Source organism: Homo sapiens, chromosome 16, assembly GCF_000001405.40.
Source record: "Homo sapiens chromosome 16, GRCh38.p14 Primary Assembly".
Lineage (NCBI taxonomy): Eukaryota > Metazoa > Chordata > Mammalia > Primates > Hominidae > Homo > Homo sapiens.
The window spans coordinates 73323386-73343642 of NC_000016.10; the positions used below are offsets into that span (position 1 = coordinate 73323386).

General features: G+C 42.4%; 1 protein-coding gene across 1 annotated transcript in view, besides 2 other annotated features; it reads right to left on the minus strand.

Annotated features, from left to right (window-relative positions):
• The window catches only part of ZFHX3 (zinc finger homeobox 3), a 1109046-nt gene that overhangs the window by 540501 nt on the left and 548288 nt on the right, over nt 1–20257 (minus strand). The gene's annotated exons all lie outside the window — the stretch shown is intronic.
• Nucleotides 5525–7008: an enhancer, noted in NCBI's record as "VISTA enhancer hs1724". NCBI's record gives its function as "enhancer in: midbrain (mesencephalon)[5/7] | forebrain[5/7]" and the evidence as "EXISTENCE:transgenic organism evidence [ECO:0001131][PMID:17130149]".
• Nucleotides 10732–10898: a silencer, noted in NCBI's record as "fragment chr16:73368016-73368182 (GRCh37/hg19 assembly coordinates)". NCBI's record gives its function as "represses an EF-1alpha promoter that drives an FKBP-Casp9 reporter gene in an ReSE screen in HepG2 liver carcinoma cells {active_cell/tissue: HepG2}" and the evidence as "EXISTENCE:reporter gene assay evidence [ECO:0000049][PMID:32094911]".

A 20257-nucleotide genomic window follows, 5' to 3' on the forward strand; every position in this document is an offset into this window, starting at 1 on the left:
AGTATGGGATTCCTGAAGCCAAGGGAAAAGTGGATTTTCAAGAAGTGAGGGAACAAGGGAGGTAAGCAGTGTCTGGTGCTATCATTCAGAAGAACAAGAGTGTGGAAGATAAAGGAATCGAAGGAAAATAAAGAAATGGAAGTAATAAGTATGGACCACTTGCTAGAGAAGTTGGACCAAGATATGAAAGAAGAGATGCAGGTTAATAATTTGAGTAAATGGCAAAGTCGACTGCAGAATTTGCCGGGTTAAAAGAGACTGTACATGTCTTTGGGTAAAAGAGGAACAGCAGATAGGAAGGGGCTGACGATCTAGGAAGCTAGAAAGTCAGGAAAAGGGAGGAGGAGAAGGAGGATCACTTCCAGCCTCTAAGACCAGTGAAGACTCTGAGAGAGCAAACAGACATTCTGGGTAGAGCAGTGGGTAGCTAGGCAATGTTCCCAGATGGTCTCCTTCATCTCATAAAGGATGAAAACAAAAGTGATCAACCCATCTGGGCTTAAGAGGATTGGCAAGTGAATAAAATATCTGTTTAGGAGCCAGAAGGGCTCTTCAAGCATCAAAGAAACCTTCCATGGGAGCCATGACTGCTTACTGTGATAACACCTCCTGGCAGAGGCCTTTACCTTGGGCCCGAGTGTATGGTAGAGGCCATGGGATTATCTATCACATGAGGGAAAAGGAACTAGAGTAGCTGACAAGAGCCTTTGAGCTGGGCATGTAGCCAAGTGTAGCCAGACTGGACCTAGTGGACCACATGGAGAGGAATGGACTCATATTCACAGTTGCAACTGAGTCAGATAGGAGGCTTGCTGAAATTCACCTGGGATTTGTCTGTGATATTGCTGGATTGTTTTTTTTCCTAACAGTGTCATTCTTGGAGGTGAAGAGGCTTGGCTCATGTTTCAATCATCCTGAGTAAATTAGCAGTGGTATGTTTTCTGCTGTAGGCTCATTGGATTGATCTTTGAGTGTGGTAGACTTGACTACAGTTAACCAATACCCATTCTCCTCTACTTCTAGACACATGAAGGGCTGTACTGCCCAGCTCCCTTGAAGTAAGGTATTCATTTTTGTGGGAAGATCATCAAGAGAGGAAGTGATATGGTAGTTTTCACAAAGCAAACTAAGTAAGTAAAGTGGCCCTATGAGCTTTCTCATTACATGATGGAGAACAAGAAGAGAATGCAATGATGAAAGTGGGTTAAGAAAGCTGTCCTGGGGATTTGAGAATGGGTGTGGCACCAGCCACTACTTGCAACATGACACACAGAAGGAGAGGCCTTTGGTCAAGGGAGTATTAGGCTTCAGAAACTGTACAAATTAGTGAGGCTTCACCTGAACTCTGTGATTTCAGGTCCTCTGGCAGGAGTTATAGAACTTCTGGAGAAGATATCCATTAGGACTGGAAGGGTCAAGTTAGAATTTCTAGGCCCTGGGTGTGGAGCACAGACCTGAGAGAATAATCGTGCCTCCTGAAGTTCTCAGCCTCGGTTTTGTGACAGCCCAGAGTGCTTCCAATTATCTCAAGGGGATCAACATTTGCTCTTTTCTTGATCACTTTTATTCTAAAAATCAAGATTGGACAGGCATAAAATTAAATAATAAAAAACCTTATATTTTTGTATAGCGCTTTTGGAATTTACAAATCTCTTTTGTGTATGTTAGAGCTCATCTGACTCTTTCACAACCTCTCTGGCTGCGAAGTAGAGAATGGATGATAGGACAGAAGAAAGAACACAGGGGGCCCTGGAGTAGTCCAGGCAAGAGGCAATATGGTAGCTCAGTCCAGGATGGTGCCATGAGGATGGGGAGAGGTGGATGGTTAATGTGAGGTCAGTTCCCTCAAAATAATTCATTTATAAGTTTAACTAATATTTATGGGGCTCTACTATGGCCCAGGCATGTGGTTAGGTTCTGGGTGCTTAGAGGTGCTCTGTATTAAGATTGCCTAAAAATGGTGTGGGCAGTGCTAAGACAGATGTGTGGGTAAATAGCTATGGCACAATAAGAGAATGGCTCTAATGAATCTAAGTGCCCTAGGATCTGGGGTGAGTCTGGTGACTCTGCCTGGGGAATTTAGAGAAGCTTTCCACAGGGGAGGTGGCCAGTCCAATGACATGGATCATATCCATTCTTATTTCATATCATATGGCCATGCCTTGCTTCAAGGTAGGTGCGAAGTAGCTCTTCAAAGTGTCCAGAAGTAGAGGAGAATGGGTATTGGTGAATGATAGTCATGTCTACAACATTCAAAGATCAATCCAACAAGCCTACAACAGAAAACATACCACTGCTAATTTATCCATGCCAATTAAAACATGGGCTAAGCCTTTTCACCTCCAAGAATGATACCGTTAGGAAAAAAAAATCCAGCAATATCAAAGCAATATCAAATGAGAAGTAATTTTCCTAGAAGGGAAAGGCAGAAGGGCATGCCAATTAGAAGGAGCAGCATATACAGAAATGCATGTGTCCCAGAATTATGGAGTTTGGTCTAATAATACACACACACAAACACACACACACACACACACACACAAACACACACACACACACACACACAGGGGAGAGTATACTGAGGAGGTCAGCTGAGGCTATATCGTGAGAGCCTCATGTGATTACACTAAGAAGGTGGCATTTGATTGCCAAGTCATGGAAGTATCATGGAGGTTTGAAGCCCAGGAAAGGGATGGTCCTTCTACAGATGGAGAGATAGAAGCTCAGAGGCTGAGCGGCATGCCCATGGTCTCAGGGTCTGCAGTATTGACAAAATACTTTATCATTTATTCAATGCTACTTTGTATTTCCTAACACAGATAAATCATAAAGAATAATATATCATATGCAACGGCCATTTAAGAATTTGGAAATCTGGAAGGCAGCTAAAGGACAGACCAGAAGACACTGAACCACATACGAAAAGCCTAAAGTCCAATAACGGGCTAATGTTCAACAGCAGTAAGTTCAGAAATCCATTCTGAGCCGACTTTCCAGTTCTCAGTGCAATGCAGTGGGTGCTCATGAGTTTTAAAACTGAAGTTGTAAAGGAATGTAGTTCTGACACATACCACAAAGAGGACGAACCTTAAAAACACGATCCTAAGTGAAAGAAGCCAGACACAAAGGACCACATATCGTATGAGTCTATTTATTTGCAATGCCAAGAATAGGCAAACCTATAGAGACAGAAAGTAGTCTAGTGGTTGCCAAGGGTTGAGGGGGGAGGGAAGTATAGGGTGTAACTGATAATGGGGATGTGGTTTTTATTTTGGGGTGATGAAAATATTCTCAACTTAGATTAGGGTGATGGTTGCACAAACCTGTGAATATACTAAACACTCTTGAATCCTATACTTCAAATGGATGAATTTTACGGTAAGTGAATAATATCTCAGAAAAGTTCTTAACAAAACCTGAAGCTATAGCCCCTATTTGGGTCTCCAGTGTATTTATTTAAATATTGAAACTCCCAACATCAACATACCTTGGAGGCGATGCCATCGATTTCTTTGCCAAACGCATCAAAGTCCATATTATGACATCTTAGATAGCTCTCCACACATATTTGTGGTTCTAAAGAATAGGACATAAACATTCCTGGGGATAAGATAACTCTCAGTCCTGAGGAAACCGTATCTCAAAAGGCTCTTTGAAAGGCTTTGTCTAAATAACACAAAACAGAACATTTGGCAGAAATGAAGCCCAGACAAATGGTCATGGGTCTTAAGGATCAAACTATTTTTGTTTTTATTTGCTGGGAGAGTAGTATTCTGAGAAGCCTTTTGGCTTACTTGTTCTTGAGTTCTGTGTATGCTCTACATTCCTCTTATGCACGTAGAACAGGGAGAAGCAATCTATGGCATGTGAGCTGATTTTAACTATGCTGGCTTCTACTGCCATGACCTACCACAACTGCAGTAACTGCTGCCCAATATTCCAAGTATTCCATGAGACCAGGTATGATGACTCATTCCCTAAACCCACTCCTACCCTTCAAAGAGTCAGTCCTTAACCAAACAACCCTCTTCTATTCCCTCCCCAACTTCCCTAGAAGCAGATCTGGGCCTGCCATATTGAAAACATGGATGACCAATGGTTGGATGAAAGCACAGTCTTCAGGTCCCTTCTCCTATGATGCCCACTTTTAATAACATACTTCCTTACAAAGGTGGCACCTGGCAGATGAATGAAAGATGCTCCAAGGATAACCTAAATTGGACTTCATTCTGAAAATTTGAAAGACAATGACAAGATTCAGCAAGTATCTTGCCTTATCATTCAAGAATACCAACTTTATGTCAAGAAGCTTAGACCCAGCAGGCTGGAGTGTCATATGTTGAGTTGCCCTGGAATAGAATCTTTGTGATTGATGACAACTGCAATCTCACATTCACCCATGTGTGGTTTAACTGAATTTTGTGCACCGTAGACAGTTTTGTTTCTGTCATTTGCCCCCAGGGGACTCTGAGGACCTTGATGGTCTTGCTGGCCTGGAATGCCTCAATTCTCCATGGATTTATAAAATCCCAGAGAATGTACTGTGCAGACTCAGGGTGAACATAGACACAAGCATTTAATTTCCTTTACTGGTCATCAACCTTTTCAGCTCAGGATCGGGGGGAACACCAGCCAGAATACTGAACCTATTTGACCATTTTCCTATGCTTTTTAAATTTAATTTAATTTTTATTTATTTTTATTTTTTAAAGGCAGAGCAACTCAGGGTCTTTTAAACAATGAGGTCTTAAATTGTTTTAAAAAGAAAATAGTCTTGGATTCTTGGATCCATCTGTAGTGCGTATTATAATCAACTGATGTTACCAGATCTTCGGTGGGGAACAGAGAAGTGGTAGAAACTGGGGAGGTGGTGGTTGCACAGTCATCCATTTTAAAGGTCTTCCTTAAATACCTATTGCTGTAGATAGGTAAATCTGGTCAATATCAGGAAATAGTATTCCCTGTATTTGGTCAATGAAACATCACTCACTGCTTGACCAGATTGCATTCCACAAGACACTAGTAGTAGCCATCATTTTTGAGAGTCTAAGACGGGAGTTATAGGTTTGGTGTGGATTAACTCAATCTTCATGACATTTTAATGAGGCACGTTTAATTCTTATCCCTGTTTTAAATATGGGGAATTGGAGATTCAGAGAAGCCCCATAACTTGCCTAAGACCACATAGCTAGAAGTTAACGAAGCTGCAAGGAGAGCTCAGACTCACCTGTATCCAGAGTTCTCTCTCAGCTATTCTATGATCCTGTCTCCTGATGAAATAAACAGGCAAACCAAATACGATGTGTGGTGGACATAAGAGGAGACTTGTAACAGAATTAAAGATAAGTGCTCAGAAGGATAAAACCAGGGTGATTGCTGCAATATCTATTCCTTATGAAAATATTCCATTTGCTTCCTGTTGAAACAGACTAACAAGGGATAGGTTGAAAGCAAATATAAGTAAGCAGATACTTCATCTTTCTGATCTGTGCAAAACCCATCCCAAGTGGGCAGTGCAAATCCATGCTGCTCTTCCTTTCTCCTCTTCAGCGAATTAGCACATCGAAGGACCTCTCTGTCCTCCTTATATTTGCAAAGCTACATGAACTCATTCTTTTCCTCTAGGACTGTTGGTCACAGGTACATTCAGTTCAGACTTTTTACCCTCCTTTCCTTGCTGCCTTCCTTCTCAAAATCAGCCTCATTGGTAGTTTGCAAGCAAGTGTCTAGTTAAAACAAAACCTTTCCAAAGGGAAGAAGAGTAGGTTTTGCTCTGCTGTTTTGATTTCTAAATGTAAGGGTGGCGAACCAGATTCACCTCTGGTGTTTCATTGTGGATTCCACAATTCATCACGCTCTTGGCAAGTGGTGGTGCTCCACATGGTGGGGAGCACGGGGGAGGGATCTCAAGGATTTTAGGCAGTGGGCGGTGTTGAGGAAATATCTTCCTACCCTTTCCACCCTCTTGCTTGTGTCGACTATATTTTCGAGTTTCACTCAATGATGGAGTTGTTTCTTAGCGTCTTGTGCGCTTAGCCATTTAATTAAAGCAATCCATATTGAATTCATGTCCAGATGCCTCGACCGGCGGAGCCAGATCCTCATTGGCATGCCAGCTGCTCCAAGAGGAACACGGCCCCTTGCATACTAATCAGGAGAGGAGGCAGTGATTCATCAGCCCATGATACTGCTCCAGCATCTACAAGCACTTATGACATGTAATTGGTGGTGCATAAGCAAGCCAGGCCACATTAAAAACCCTACAGATAGTCAGAGATAAAAATTAATGACTTTTGCTTTGTGTAATCCTGCATGCATTGGTGGGAAAGCGGAGAAGGGGGGAGTTGGGATTAATGGGCAAATCTAAGTAGGCACCAAGGAACAAAGGCCTTCCCGGCCTTGTTTACATATCGAACAATAAAAAACACAAGTGACAAGTTATGGGAAAGGCGAGTGTGAATTTTCGGCACGAGTGAGTTGAAAGACTGCTTGCAGTTTATTACAGATTCTAAATTTCCATATTCATTATTCCAAAACAAACGTCCTCAGTGGGCTCTTCTGGGACTGGCTAGAGCAGTTGTTATTATTCATCTTTCACAGGGGCTGGGTTGTCATGATTAGGGCTGGGCTGGGCTCACTCTTCATGGCATGCCCCAGCTACTCAGGGACACAATGCAGACCTTTGACAAGCCCAGAGGAATGTGACAGGGATCAAGTAGAGTCAGTATGAGCAGGCGCTCCAACAGCAGAAGGAGCCTCACACTTAGAGCAGGATGGGGGAAGAGAGGAGAGAGTTTTGAGCCACCTACTGCTAGACAAGGGAAATAGCCCAGGTGGCCCAGGTAGTAGCTAATGACCAGGAAGGAAAGGAAGAAAGGAAAGTAGGAGTGGCAAATAAAGTGGATTTCATAATTAATCTGGGCAGGTTAATGAATATAGTTATTGGGATGGTATCAGTCAGGTTCTGGTTAATATGGATATTAAAAAGGGGATTGATTACACGTGTGGTTTAGGGTAGTTTCAGATTGTGTTAGAGGATCATGCAAAGTGAAGGCAACAATTCATGCATGTGCTGCAAGACAGTCTTTTGCACTGAGTGCCACATGGGGAATGCAATAGGGGCAAACGTCAGGATTTTGTAGTCAGAAACTGCATTGGTTGTTTATTTAAGGGCCTTCTTTAAGACACAGATGGCCTGGCTGAACTTTGAAGTGGGCTTGAGCAAGAAAAAGCTTCTAGGCTGATGGGTGGATGTGGATATGTTCAGCTACTGTGATCACTGAACAAGGGAGAGGCAAGGGCATGTTGATGCTGAGATTGAGGGGAGGATGGGTCATTATCAAATATTTATGATTGTGGTTTGGTGGAGGCAGGGAGGTAATTAAAAGACAGATACTAAGATAATAGGCTTAAGACATGATGATTTTCCCAGTGGTCTGGCTTTGTCCTTTCTGAAAGGAAGAGTAACATCAACCCTATACTCATTGGTGGCTTTCTTCCTTTCTCTCCATGATGGCCTTGTTCTGATGATCCTTATGCTTCTAGTGTTCTTGTTGGTCATGGACTAGCTTAGTGATCCTCAGGGGAAAATCTGTGGGCAGCTGTGTTAGTCCATTCTCACACTGCTATGAAAAAATACCCAAGACTGGGTAATTTATAAAGGAAAGAGGTTTAATTGACTCACAGTTCCACATGGCTAGGGAGGCCTCAGAAAACTTACAATCATGGTGGAAGGGGAAGCAAACACACCCTTCTTCACATGGTGGCAGGAGAGACAAGTGCAGAGTGAAGCGGGGAAAGCCCCGTATAAAACCATCAGATCTCGTGAGAACTCACTATCATGAGAACAGCATGGAGGAACCGCCCCCATAATCTAATCACCTCCCATGACGTCCCTCCCATGACATGTGGGAATTATGGGAACTACAATTCAAGATGAGATTTGGGTAGGGGCACAGCCAAACCATATCAGCAGCATTTGTAGAAAGGGCATCCTGAGAGTAGAAAATGTCCAAAGAGATGATTGGCAAGAATGTGTTAACTATTCCTCAATGTGACAAGAGCCATGCTTTGAGTTGAGACATCCCTGGTCTTATGCCTAGAGTCCTTTGTTCTTCTGTTGCCACAGAACAAAACCATGCTATCTGGTCTGTGCAGAGAGTACATCCACAATTGTGCTTTCCTAAGTGTCATGATTTACCCATGAGATGCAGTTAAGAGGAGTAACTCATTCGCAGTGGTGAGAATGCCTAGAATTCTTGGTACTTTCTGTAGAAGATCATGAGCTGTTGATATAGTATACTAAAATAACACATTTGTACGCCAGTTCTGCTACATTCCCAGGGACCTGGAACTTGAGTCTTATGCAGAGAATATGTCAACATTTAAAAACAATAGAGGGGTTGGATTTTAAGAGATGACATTTCTCTTCAATAACTTATATCTGGGGGTTAGAAAAAGACGTGCCACGAGTAAAGCTTTCATCTGCCGTAGTATCCTTGTTCTAAAAGAGGACAGCTAGCATCACACAGGAAGAGTTGGGAAATCAGTGGTTAAAAGTCCTATACCACACACCCAAAGAAAAACAAGGCAGAAGAAAAAAAGAAGATCTCTTGAGATTCTCTTACCCATGTTCAACTCCATGCCTTATGCTAAGTGGCTTCAGACAACGTGGCTTTTATAGAGCCTGATCCAACAAAGTAATATTGATTCTCTCTTTTTCAAGGTTCCTTCTCAAGGAAGGGCTGGCTGGGACACATTTCCAGTATCCTGAAAAAGTTGACTACATAATAAAACCAGATGATGATAAAAACGAAATTTGGGGAAAACTGGAGCTATTAAACAAGTAGGAAGTCATTGAGAAACAGAGATTACACACTGGGAGAAAAAAATTTATATAACGAAGCTCTATATCTACTAGAGAGAAAAAGAAAAGAACCTAACCTGTGTTTGTGAGTGATTAAATCATTTACATGACAGTGTAGGGGCCTGAGCTGCCCTTTCCTCCTGCAAGGATGTCAGGATGCCCAACTTGGCCATGTCCACTAGCTGCACATGTTTCTGAGCACCTGGAGTTACAGAGGGTTATACATCTTCCCAGCAGCACAGGTCTCTGGCTGAACTACCACCCAGAGGAAAACTTACTTTCTTTTTGCCTCTTTTAATTTCCTTTAGCAAATAAAGTCCTCTCAAGATTTTCATCTAGTCAGGAGAAGAAACTAAATCCTTTGCTGGCATGTAAGAATATTAACTGTATCGGATATGGGAAGACCACTGGACCAGCAAAAACTTATGTGGACCTGGGACTAATTCAAACCACGAACAAAAGTGATGAGGCAATGGCATGAATAAATACGTAGTGATCTCTTTCCATGAAGAGCTCACAGAGCCCTCAAGGTAGTCAATGAACGTACTCCATGCAACAAGAGTGGTGGCAAGAGTTTGTACAGTTTCCAAGAGAGAAACTGAGACATAGTGAAGACTAGTGATTTTCTAGAGGCCAAATTAGCAACAAACCTAGAAATCTATGGTTGCTCTCTTGTACTTCCCTCTTTCCTTTCTTTTTTCCTTCATTTCTTTCCTCTTTCCTTCCTTTATGGCTTCCCTCCCTCCTTATTCCTTCCCTTGCTCCTTCCATCTCTCTGTCTTCCCCCTTACATTTACTTACTACACAGTTTTAGGAGACAAAGATTTTAGATAGATAGATACATAGACATGTAAATACATAAATAGTTACATAGATACATAGTAGATAGACACATACATGGATACATAGACACATGGATAGTTACATAGATAGACACATAGATGGATAGACACATAGACACACAGATACATAAATAGAAAGATAAATATATAGATACCCAGACACAGATAGAAAAATACAGTTACATAGATAGACACGTAGTAGACAGACACATAAATACATAGATATATAGACACAAGATACATAGACACATAGATGGATAGATACATAGACACATAATAGACAGAAAGATACATACATACATAGACACACAGAAAGATACATAGATAGACACATAAATAGGTAGATACACAGATACATAGACACATAGATAAACAGACAGAAAGAAAGCAAGAAAGCAAGCAAGCAGGCAAGCAAGCCAGTCAGCCAGCCCAGGCTAGTGGTGTCTTGATTATAATCTTGTTGAAGAGCTATTCAGTTGATGGTGGGGTATAGGATGAGTTGACAAGGGACAATAACGAGGGTGGATGTGTGGGGTAGTCAGAAAGCATTTGGATTTTCTAGGGGTAACAAGGGCTCTATACTAGGCATAACCAGCAAAAGAACTGGAAAAGGAGAAGGCAGATGTGAGATCTGCTTCAAACAGAAACACTGAGATTTGGCAACAAATCAGATGTGGGATGAGGTCAAAGGAAGTTTTCACCCCAAGAGACCAAAAAAAAAAAAAAAAAAAAAAAAAAGGTGGTCCCTTCACAAGACAGAAGGTACACAAGAGGAGCAGGTTAAGGACCACAGCTGACTTCCACCTTGTATCCGGCACGCTGAACATCCTGCTGCCAATGCAGGTGGAAGTGTTGAGCTGGTGCAGTCTCAGGTAAGTCTAGTCTGGGATGCTGGTTTGAGAATGGGTGATGCACCCACTCACGAAGGAGGGAGAATGTCCAGGATGCAATCAGACAGAGAAGAGGATGGGGTCAAGGACATGGCTTATGTGCTGAAAGAGGAAGGAGAAAGGGGACAGGAAGGTCTGCCCCAAAGGCAGCAGGGCCAGGAGAATGGAGTCGCCACGGCCAGAGGAGGACAGCGTTCTAGGAAAGCAGAGGGGGCCACGGAGGGTCACCAGCTTCATCGCTGCCTCTCTGCTGAGAATAAGCCACACGGGCTGAGCAGGGAGAAGAGGCTGTTGAATTTGCTGATCCGTGGGAGGGCCATTTTCACGGAGGTAGGCAAGAGGACAGACTGCAGGGGGTTAAGGAGGAAGGGGATGTCAAGGGCATGAAGGCAGTGAGAGCTGAAAACTCATTAACTGCCCTAAATGCTGAGGACAAATAGAATAATAAACTTCTAGGCAAGAATGAAATGCACTTTTGCCTCCAGGAGACCACTTCAGCTCTTGGAGCTGAAGGAAGTGGGGCTCTGTGCCTTCCCCTGCTGTCAACTTCCTGTCCGCTGCAGCCCCCGAGGTTGGCAGAGGGGCCATTGTTCTGCCCGCTCCCCAAAGGACCGTCAGCCGAGTGGCCACTCGCAGTCACTCTTCTTTGTGCCTGGAGAGATTAGAAACGAAGAACGGAAGCTCAAGAGGCTCCAAGACAGACGCTCGGGGCAAGTGGAAGCGTTTCAGAGTCCCCAAATTTGAACCTGTCCCCTCCTCCTCTCAGTCCTGTGATCTTCCATTAAATTGGATAAGGAGATCTCTTTTCCTCCTTTTCTTTCTCATTCTTTTTTTTTTTTTTTTTTTTTTTTTTGCAAAATGAATGCTTTCTGAATCTGCTTGACGTAAGAACTTTCTTTGTTCCACCCTAATGTTGATGGCTTGTTTTGTTCTTGAGTTTGCCTGCTTTGCACAAAGGGGGAAAAATGTCCTCAAAACTAAACTGAATTCAGCAGCTCTATTCATGGCCAAATTTAAAACATTTAAAGGTAAATTCAATTAGCAAATGTAGAACCAATTATTAGGTGACCAAACACAGTTTTCAACATCCAAAATGTGAGTCTTTTTCAGAAAAACCAAGACATACATAAAGAGTTTCATTCTCCTAGGCTAAGAAGATACATTTTAGTACGAAAAGGGTGCCAAACTGTTGAAGTGATAGCTATAATAATATTTACCAAGTGTTACGTGCTAGGCCCTGGGTTTTTCCTCAGAAAACAAAGAAATCAAACAAATGAAGACAGGTTTATTTTCCCTATGACTTCGATTTTTCCAGAAATTTTACAATTCTGAATTAAACAAACACTGGAGTGAATTAGAACCTAAAAGATAAAAAGTGATTTTAAAGAACCCAACAACTGAGTAAAGGACTTATCTTTTACCCCGTGTAACTTTGCTGAATATATCCAGTATTTCCAGGAGTAAAGTTTCCGCTGCAGAATATTTTTCTCCTTTGATATATTTAAGGCACTGATGTAACCATCCACGGCTTTATAGTTAAAGCCATCAAAACAAACTCAGATACAACTCTGACAGCTATTTCTACTGTTCGTTGCCAATGAAGATTCATGATCAGGGTATCAGTCACCTTTGTTTGGGCTAAATTTCATGTACGTAATAATAACGTCCCTGAATGTCCCCAAGGTCCTGCCATTTGATTCTCCCAATAACTAGATTCAACATCATGAGCTTTTGTGATTTGAATTGAAAGGGGCTGGAAGTTGACAGTGGGGGAAGGCACAGAGTCCCACTGCCTTCAGCTCTGAGAGCAGAAATGGTCTCCTGGAAGCAAAACTGCATTTCATTCTTGCCTAGAAGTTTATTATTCTATTTGTCCTCAGCAGTTTGGGCAGTTAATGAGTTTTTGACTCTCACTGCCTTCATGCCCTCACCGTGTCTTGAAATGTCTAGGCCACATTTCTACAAACAGCACATCACAGATTCTTTTTCTTCTAGTTCAATGCCCAGTTCTGCCTCTAGCCATTCGCAGCAGTGCACGTGTTCTAAGTTGTGTTAACAGCTGGAGATGGATCTTTACTGCTCCACACCCAGGCTCCCATTCGTTCTGGGGTGTCCACCTGTGTGTATCTGGGGCGGCAGGTGCAGGCAGTGGAAGGTGGTGGAGAGGGAGGGAACTAACCCTATTATTAACCTGCGAAGCACCAGGGACTGTGCAAAGGCACTGGGTGTTAATTATCTCATTGAATCTTCTTATATTTTTAACTTTTATTTTAGTTTCAGGGGTACATGTGCAGGTCTGTTATATGGGTAAATGCTGTGTCACGGGGGTTTGGTGTACAGGGTAATCCATCACCCGGACAATAAGCATAGCACCTGATAGTTTTTTGGTCCTTACCCTCCTCCCACCCCCCACCCTCAGGGAGGCCCCTGTGTCTATTGTTCCCTTCTTTGTGTCATTGTGTATTCAATGTTTGGCTCCCATTTACAAGTGAAAACATGTGGTGTTTGATTTTCTGTTCCTGCATTAGTTTGCTTAGGATAATGGCCTCTAGCTCCATCCATGTTGCTGCAAAAGACATGATCTTGTTCATTTTTATGACTGTGTAGTAGTTCATGGTGTATACGTGCCATATTTTCTTTATCTAGTCTACCACTGATGGGCCTCTAGGTTGATTCCATGTCTTTGCTATGTGAATAGTTCCGCGATGAATATACGTGCACATGTGTCTTTAGGGTACAATCATTGAAGCCTCTTAACAATTCTGGGTTCAAACCTTTCATCCACTAAAGCAGAATCTGTTCTCTGCCGTCTTTGCAACCGCATCCCCTGTACTCTCAAGGGTCATCAACCCTTAGCCAAGTTTAAAACAATCACAATTTCAAATTTCCTTCTCATGATCCCGTCCCTCGCTTCCCCAAACCTCTACCATTTACCTATAAGAGCACCCTGTCGAGCCTTAATATCACCCTCAGAAAGATTTAAGGCAGACCTACAAGGTTCCCTGGACTCCTGGTCTGACCACCACTTCTTACCACCACTACCTGCCAAAGGGACCTCCCAAAAGTGAGGCATAATTTACAACTTTCCCCTAAAAGACCATTAGACTCAATATCATCATATTTCAAAATCCCCATTTATTTCCATTTACCTGTTAGTCCCAGGCTTTCAATCATCCATATGTTCCCAGATGCTTATCCTTCATGGCTGTGTGCTCCTAATCTGACCCAACCTTCCATCCATTCCTAACCTCCCAAATCCTTATCCTACGTCCTGTGGGACTCCTGTTCTGTCATCACCAAAACTCCCTCTCCCTGAACCTCCCCTCTACACGTTCTGGCGACTGTTTTGCCCCAGTATTCTCTGGAGGCCACTGCTTTCTCTGAGGCCCCTTCAGTGGTGAGCTTTGTTACTTCCACATCCCAAATACCATAGTGCCAGGAAGTGGGTGGATGTCTTCATCACCTCCCGTTACTGCTTCCAGGCTACTGTTCTCCAAAGCCTCCTTTGAGGCACATCCCATCACACTGTGCACTGAATCCTCCTCCTCATCGCAGCCATTGATCACCTTGCATAGCACATCTGCTGACTCATGGAATCTTTTAATGCCTGACTCACCGTCTTTGTCTCCATCCCTGCTTGCCATTACTCTTGATGACTTCAGTATCCATAGACAATCCATCAAATGTGCTGGCCTCTCTGCTGCTTGACTTGCTCACTTCTCATGACCCTTTTTCCTACCCTTTCTAGGTCCCCACTGTACTGGTCACACCCTGGACCTTGTCATCACCAGCAACGTCATCACTTCTAAAATGCTCTTTTAGAAGCATCCCTCTCTTTTTAAACTTTCTATCTTCCCAGCTTACTCTTTCTAGTTTTCCAATTTCAATAAGTCTTCATCTTCCCTTGGCGGGGGGGGGGGTCCTCATCCCCTTTTTATGCCCATCCTCTGCCTCATGTTTTGCTTCCGTTCTTACACAGTTTAGATTCCAGGGTTCATAACTAAAACTAAAACTCGTGCATACTCTCAGCCTCCTTGATCATCAAAACCCTAAGTTGCTCAATCAAAACCCTAACTGATCTTGCTCATCAAAACCCTACGTCTGATAAACTAATTTGTTTCCTAATCTGCAGATGAGCATCAGAACGTGCTGAAGAAAACCGCACAGCCAGGCTGCCTGACCTCACTTTAAATGTATGACCACAAGTGTCACGTGGACCCTCAGCCCTGCCTAGCAATCCCCACCACACCATGCTAGGCAGCCCCTAAGGAGTCTTGTCACCCACTGTCTCCCCTGTCTCCAGCCCACCACACACACTACTGACAGTTTTATCCCTTTGAAACATGACTGTGTTCTCAGAGCTTCCCCAACCGGGAGGCTGGGCACATCGTAGGGCCTTGGCAAATATTTGATATGTAAGTAATTAAATGAATCACACTAAATAAAGGTCAACTTTTTTTTTCATTTTAACAGTCAAAATCCTCTGCAGCTTGGTTCAGCCACATCTCCTATATGGGGCCTCTTAACCCCTTCAAATTAGTCTATCAGTTCTATCAGGTCTACAAACAGACTACAGTATCCCGAAATATGATCGATTCGATGGAATCATGCAAACTTGCCAATATATGACTGCTCTGACCTACAAAACAGCAATTTCACATGCACCCCCACCCCTGCCAATATATGTTTCTGCCTCTCTGATTTTGCTTAAGCCATTTTAAATGCCAGATTATCTTTCTGGGTGATATAGTTTGGATGTGTGTCCCTGCTCAAATCTCATGCTGAAATGTAATCCCCAGTGTTATAGGAGGGGCCTGGTGGAGATGAGTGACTCATGGGGCGGATTTCTCATGAATGGTTTAGCACCATCCGCTTGGTGCTGTCCTCGCCATAGTGGATGAGTTCTTGCAAGATCTGATCGTTTAAAAAATGTGTGGCACCTACCCCCTTGCTCTCTTCCTCCTGCCTTCGCCACGTGATGTGTCTGTTTCCCTTGGCCTTCCACCATCATTGTAAACTTCCAGAAGCCTCCTCAGAAGCAGATCCCAGTGCTATGCTTCATGTACAGCCTGCAGAACTGTGAGCCAATTAAACTTCTTTTCTTTTAAACTACCCAGTCTCAGGTATTTCTTTATAGCAATGTGAGAATGGACCAATACACTTCAGGCCATCCAACTTGGGCTTCAGAATCTGATTTTAAGTCTCATCTCTTCCAAAGAGGCTCTGAATGTAGAGCTTTTCTCCTGCCCTCCCAAAGCACTGTGCAACTTTTTCTTCTTCACCTGCTCTCCTCTGCCTTGTAATGAAGTTGTTTGTGCCTATCTCTCTTCTCTCATTATCTCCTCCAGTTGTGAGTGAACTCCTTGAAGACACCATCTTGTCTTATTCATCTTTGAGTCCCTCACAGGTTCTATTACGAAGCTCTACACAGAGGAGCTGCTCAACAGGTATTTGTTAAATGAACTCAAATAGTGGTTAATTGTTCCAAGCATGTAACCTTATATTCTATCATCTAACAGTGGGAGAAATAGGTGTATAAAGTCTATTTCGTCTTTTTGTTCCACAACAATTTTAAAGTACTAATATATTTTTCTATTAGACGTTTTGCCACCTCACCAATAGTAGGAGAGAAAATTCACTGGGCTGGGAGCGGGTTGCTTATTCAACCATTGAGATAAGCCAACTAATCAACCATGAAGAGTAGGAGGCCTATGGTAATATTTATCCTGGCAGGATGTTCTCCTGGTCATTTCCAGACATGAACTGACATACAAGGGCTTAGGACTTTGGATATTCCACAAATAAAGCATTTCTTTGGGGCATCAGCGGCTCCTTCATTTGGTCTAAACAATAGGTGAAAGAAAGGTAGCAGCTGATGCTTCAGCTGCTGACGATGATGACAAAAACGATAATGGCATTTATATGATTCAGCAGTGCTCGACAAACCCAGCAAATTACTTGTAAAGTTGGCAGTCAGGGCTGTCAATGAGAGAGTCACCTTTGGGCCAGAAAGCAGCAGCCACATTTGCATAAAAAGAGAGAGCTCCTAGCACCTGACAGCTCAGAGGGAGGTGAGCAAGTAGAACTCTGGGATCAGGGAGACTCACGGAGGTAACAGGCTTACGTTGCAGTAGGGAAGACTGATGCTCAGAAACAAGGAAGAACTTCCGGAGAACTAGGGTCTTAGCAGAGGAAGAGGTGCTCAGAGGAGGTTATTGAACTTGCTCATAAGAGTTAAAGCAGCATGGTGTTGGTGCCTGAATAAACAGACCACTGGAATAGAGCAGACAGTCTGGGAATACAGCCAAGTGTATATGAAAATTTAGGACATAATAAAGGTGGCACTGGCAGTCACTGGGGTGCAGATGATCTTATTTATTTATTTACTTATTCAGAAACAGGTCTTGCTCTGTCACCCAGGCTGGAGTGCAGTGGCACGATGATCATGGCTCACCGCAGCCTTGCTGGGCTCAAGCAATCCTCCCACCTCAGCCTCCTGAGTAGCTGGGATTATAGGTGCATGCCATCACGTCCAGCTACTTTGGTTTTTTTGTGTGTGTGTTTTTTGATTTTGTAGAGACGAAGTCTCACCATGTTGCCTAGGCTGGCCTTGAACTCCTGGGCACAAGTAACACTCTCACTTCGGCCTCCTAAAGTGCTGGGATTATAGGCGTGAGCCACCGTGCCTGGCTGATCTTTTTACTTGGTGGTGCTAGGACGACTGGCTAGACAGTTTTTTGATATAGTTAGTAAAGTTAGTTCTATCCCTCCAACCACAAAAAAGACTGTCTTCCAAAGTGGATCAAAGAGCTACATGAATAAATGAACCCTACAAGTACTGGAAAAAAACATGGGTGAATTCTTGGGTGTGAAGAAATGACTTCTAACTTGAGTCAATATCCACAGTCAATAGAAGATTGATAAATTTGATTATATAACATTTAAAAAATTGCATGAAAAAAACATCATAAGCAAAATCAAAAGATGCGTGACAAACAGGAGAAAACTGTTTGCAATTTGTATCACCGGCCAAAGGCTAATTTCTGAAATATACAAAGTCTTCTTAAAAATTGAGGGAGCCGGATGCGGTGGCTCACACTTGTAATCCCAGCACTTTGGGAGGCCGAGGTGGGTGGATCATGAGGTCAGGAGTTCAAGACTAGCCTGGCCAACATGGTAAAACCCAGTCTCTACTAAAAATACAAAAATTAGCCGGGTGTGATGGCAGGCACCTGTAATCCCAGCTACTGAGGAGGCTGAGGCAGGAGAATTGTTTGAGCCTGGGAGGCAGAGGTTGCAGTGAGCTGAGGTCGCAACACTGTACTCCAGCCTGCGTGACAGAGCAAGACTCCATCTCAAAATAATAATAATAACAATAGAGAGGAAAAGGCCAATAAAAAATGGATGAAGGATGTGAACAGATGATTCCAAAAAAGATACATAAGTAGCCTTTAAACATAAGAAAAAAATGTTCAACTTCATACATAATAAGTGAAATGCCAGTGAAACTACATTAAAACAGTTTGATGGTTCCTCAAACGATTACTCACAGAGTTGCCATATGACCCAGAAATTCTACTCCTAGATGTACACACCCAGGAGAAATGAAAACATCTGTCCACACACAACATATATGAATGCTTGGAATTGCATTATTCGTAATAGACTAATGGTGGAAACAACTTAAATAGATAACAGATAAATGGATAAATTCCACAGATAAATGGATAAACAAGAGATGGTATATATACACAATGGAATACTATTGGGTCATAAAAAGGAATGGAGTACTGATATATACCATAATCTAGATAAGGCTTAAAAATATAATGCTCAAGTAAAGAAGCAAGTCACAAAAGGCTACATATTGTATAAGTCCATTTATACAAAGTGTCTTAAATAGCCAAATCTATAGACAGAAAATGGATTTATGGTTGCCTCGGGCTGGGGGTTATGGGACATTAGGAGAGTGAGAGGTAAATAGTACTAGGTTTCTAAAATCGGCTGTGGTGATGGTTGCAGATATATGTGAATATACTATAATTCACTCAATTGTGCACTGTAAAATGGGTGAATTGTATGGTACATGAATTATATCTACATAAAGTGGTTTTTGAAAAACTACCTTGAAATATTATTTCTCACCTATTAGACTCATAAATATTAGAAAGCTTGATACATTCTGCTGGTGAGGCTAGGGGGAAACAGGCCTTTTCATAACTTGTTAGAGGGAATGCAAATCGGTACAATAGTTAAGGATGGGGTCTTTGCAAAAGCTAACAAAACTACGTATTTGTACACCTAGTGACCCAGGAATGTCACGTTTAGGAATTCACCTAGGTAATTTATCCTGAAGACACCTGTCCAACAATATAATACATATTCACATGGCTACATACTGAAGCATGGTTCACAATGGAGATATTGGAAACAATCTCAATGGCCACGAATAGAAGACTGGTTGGATAAACGATGGTGCAATCAGACAGTGCGGTACTATTCGGCTGGAGAAGAATGAGGAAGAGCTCCAGGAGTCGATGAGGAATGATTTCCAGGATGTGTTGAGGGAAGAAAACGGGTGCAAAAGATCATTTCTAGTATTCTCTATTTTTTATAAGAAAGAAGAGGAAATAAACTATACAAGTATCTACCTATTTTAACAAAAGGAAACATTGGGAAGAAAATCAGAAATGGAAGAGATTGGTTTCCTGCAAGAGGTGGGTAGGTACAGGTGGGAGGGCTAGGAAGGAAAGTGGCACTTCTCTGAATTTGCCTTTTTACTTAATTTTGACTTTTATGATCATGCTAATGTTTTATATATGCAAAAAATCCACAGGGATGGGGAGAACACCCCTAATAGAAACAAATGAACCAAAAAGTATTTCAAATGAGCAACACAGTGACACTGTGTGGGGGCTGGGGAACTGGCCCAAGTGACCTTCCAACAGAGAGTTCTGACCAGGTACCCTCAGTCTAAATACTAAACAAAATATTGAAGTCTAGTTAGCAGGTATGTTTTTCACAGTGCTATGCATGAACAATTCCAAAACAACTTCCTATGTATCTCAGGATTGAACAAATGAATGAATATATTGAGAAACATGAGAGCTAGGTATCTAGTTTCTTTTAGTGAAGACATGTTTTTTTCTTTTTCTTTTTTTTCCCCTAAATATACAGGAAGGGGAAAGCTAAAATGTTGTAGGACTGAAATGGAAAGTATCAGTATGTTTCATATATATGTGTGTGTGTATGTATGCATATATACATTCTGTCCATTAAAAGAGTCTTGAATTAATGATATCCCAGTAGCCCTGATGCTCAGATCTTTCAAATTCTCTTCTTCACCAAAAGAATCCAGGACTCTTTGGAGAGATGGCTGAATTCCAGCTCAGGTAAGTTATAGCTGATCCTGAACATCTTGCTCCATAAAACAAGAAAGTGCTCAAAGCATGAAGAGGAGGCCACATGCGGTGGCTCACACCTGTAATCTCAGCTCTTTGGGAGGCCGAGGTGGGAGGAATGCTTGATCCCAGGAGTTTGAGACCAGTCTGGGCAACATGGCAAGACCCCATCTCTCTAAAACATTTAAGAAGTTAGCTGGGCATGATGGTGCCTATCTGTAATCTTGGCTACTCAGGAAGCTGAAGTGGGAAGAATGC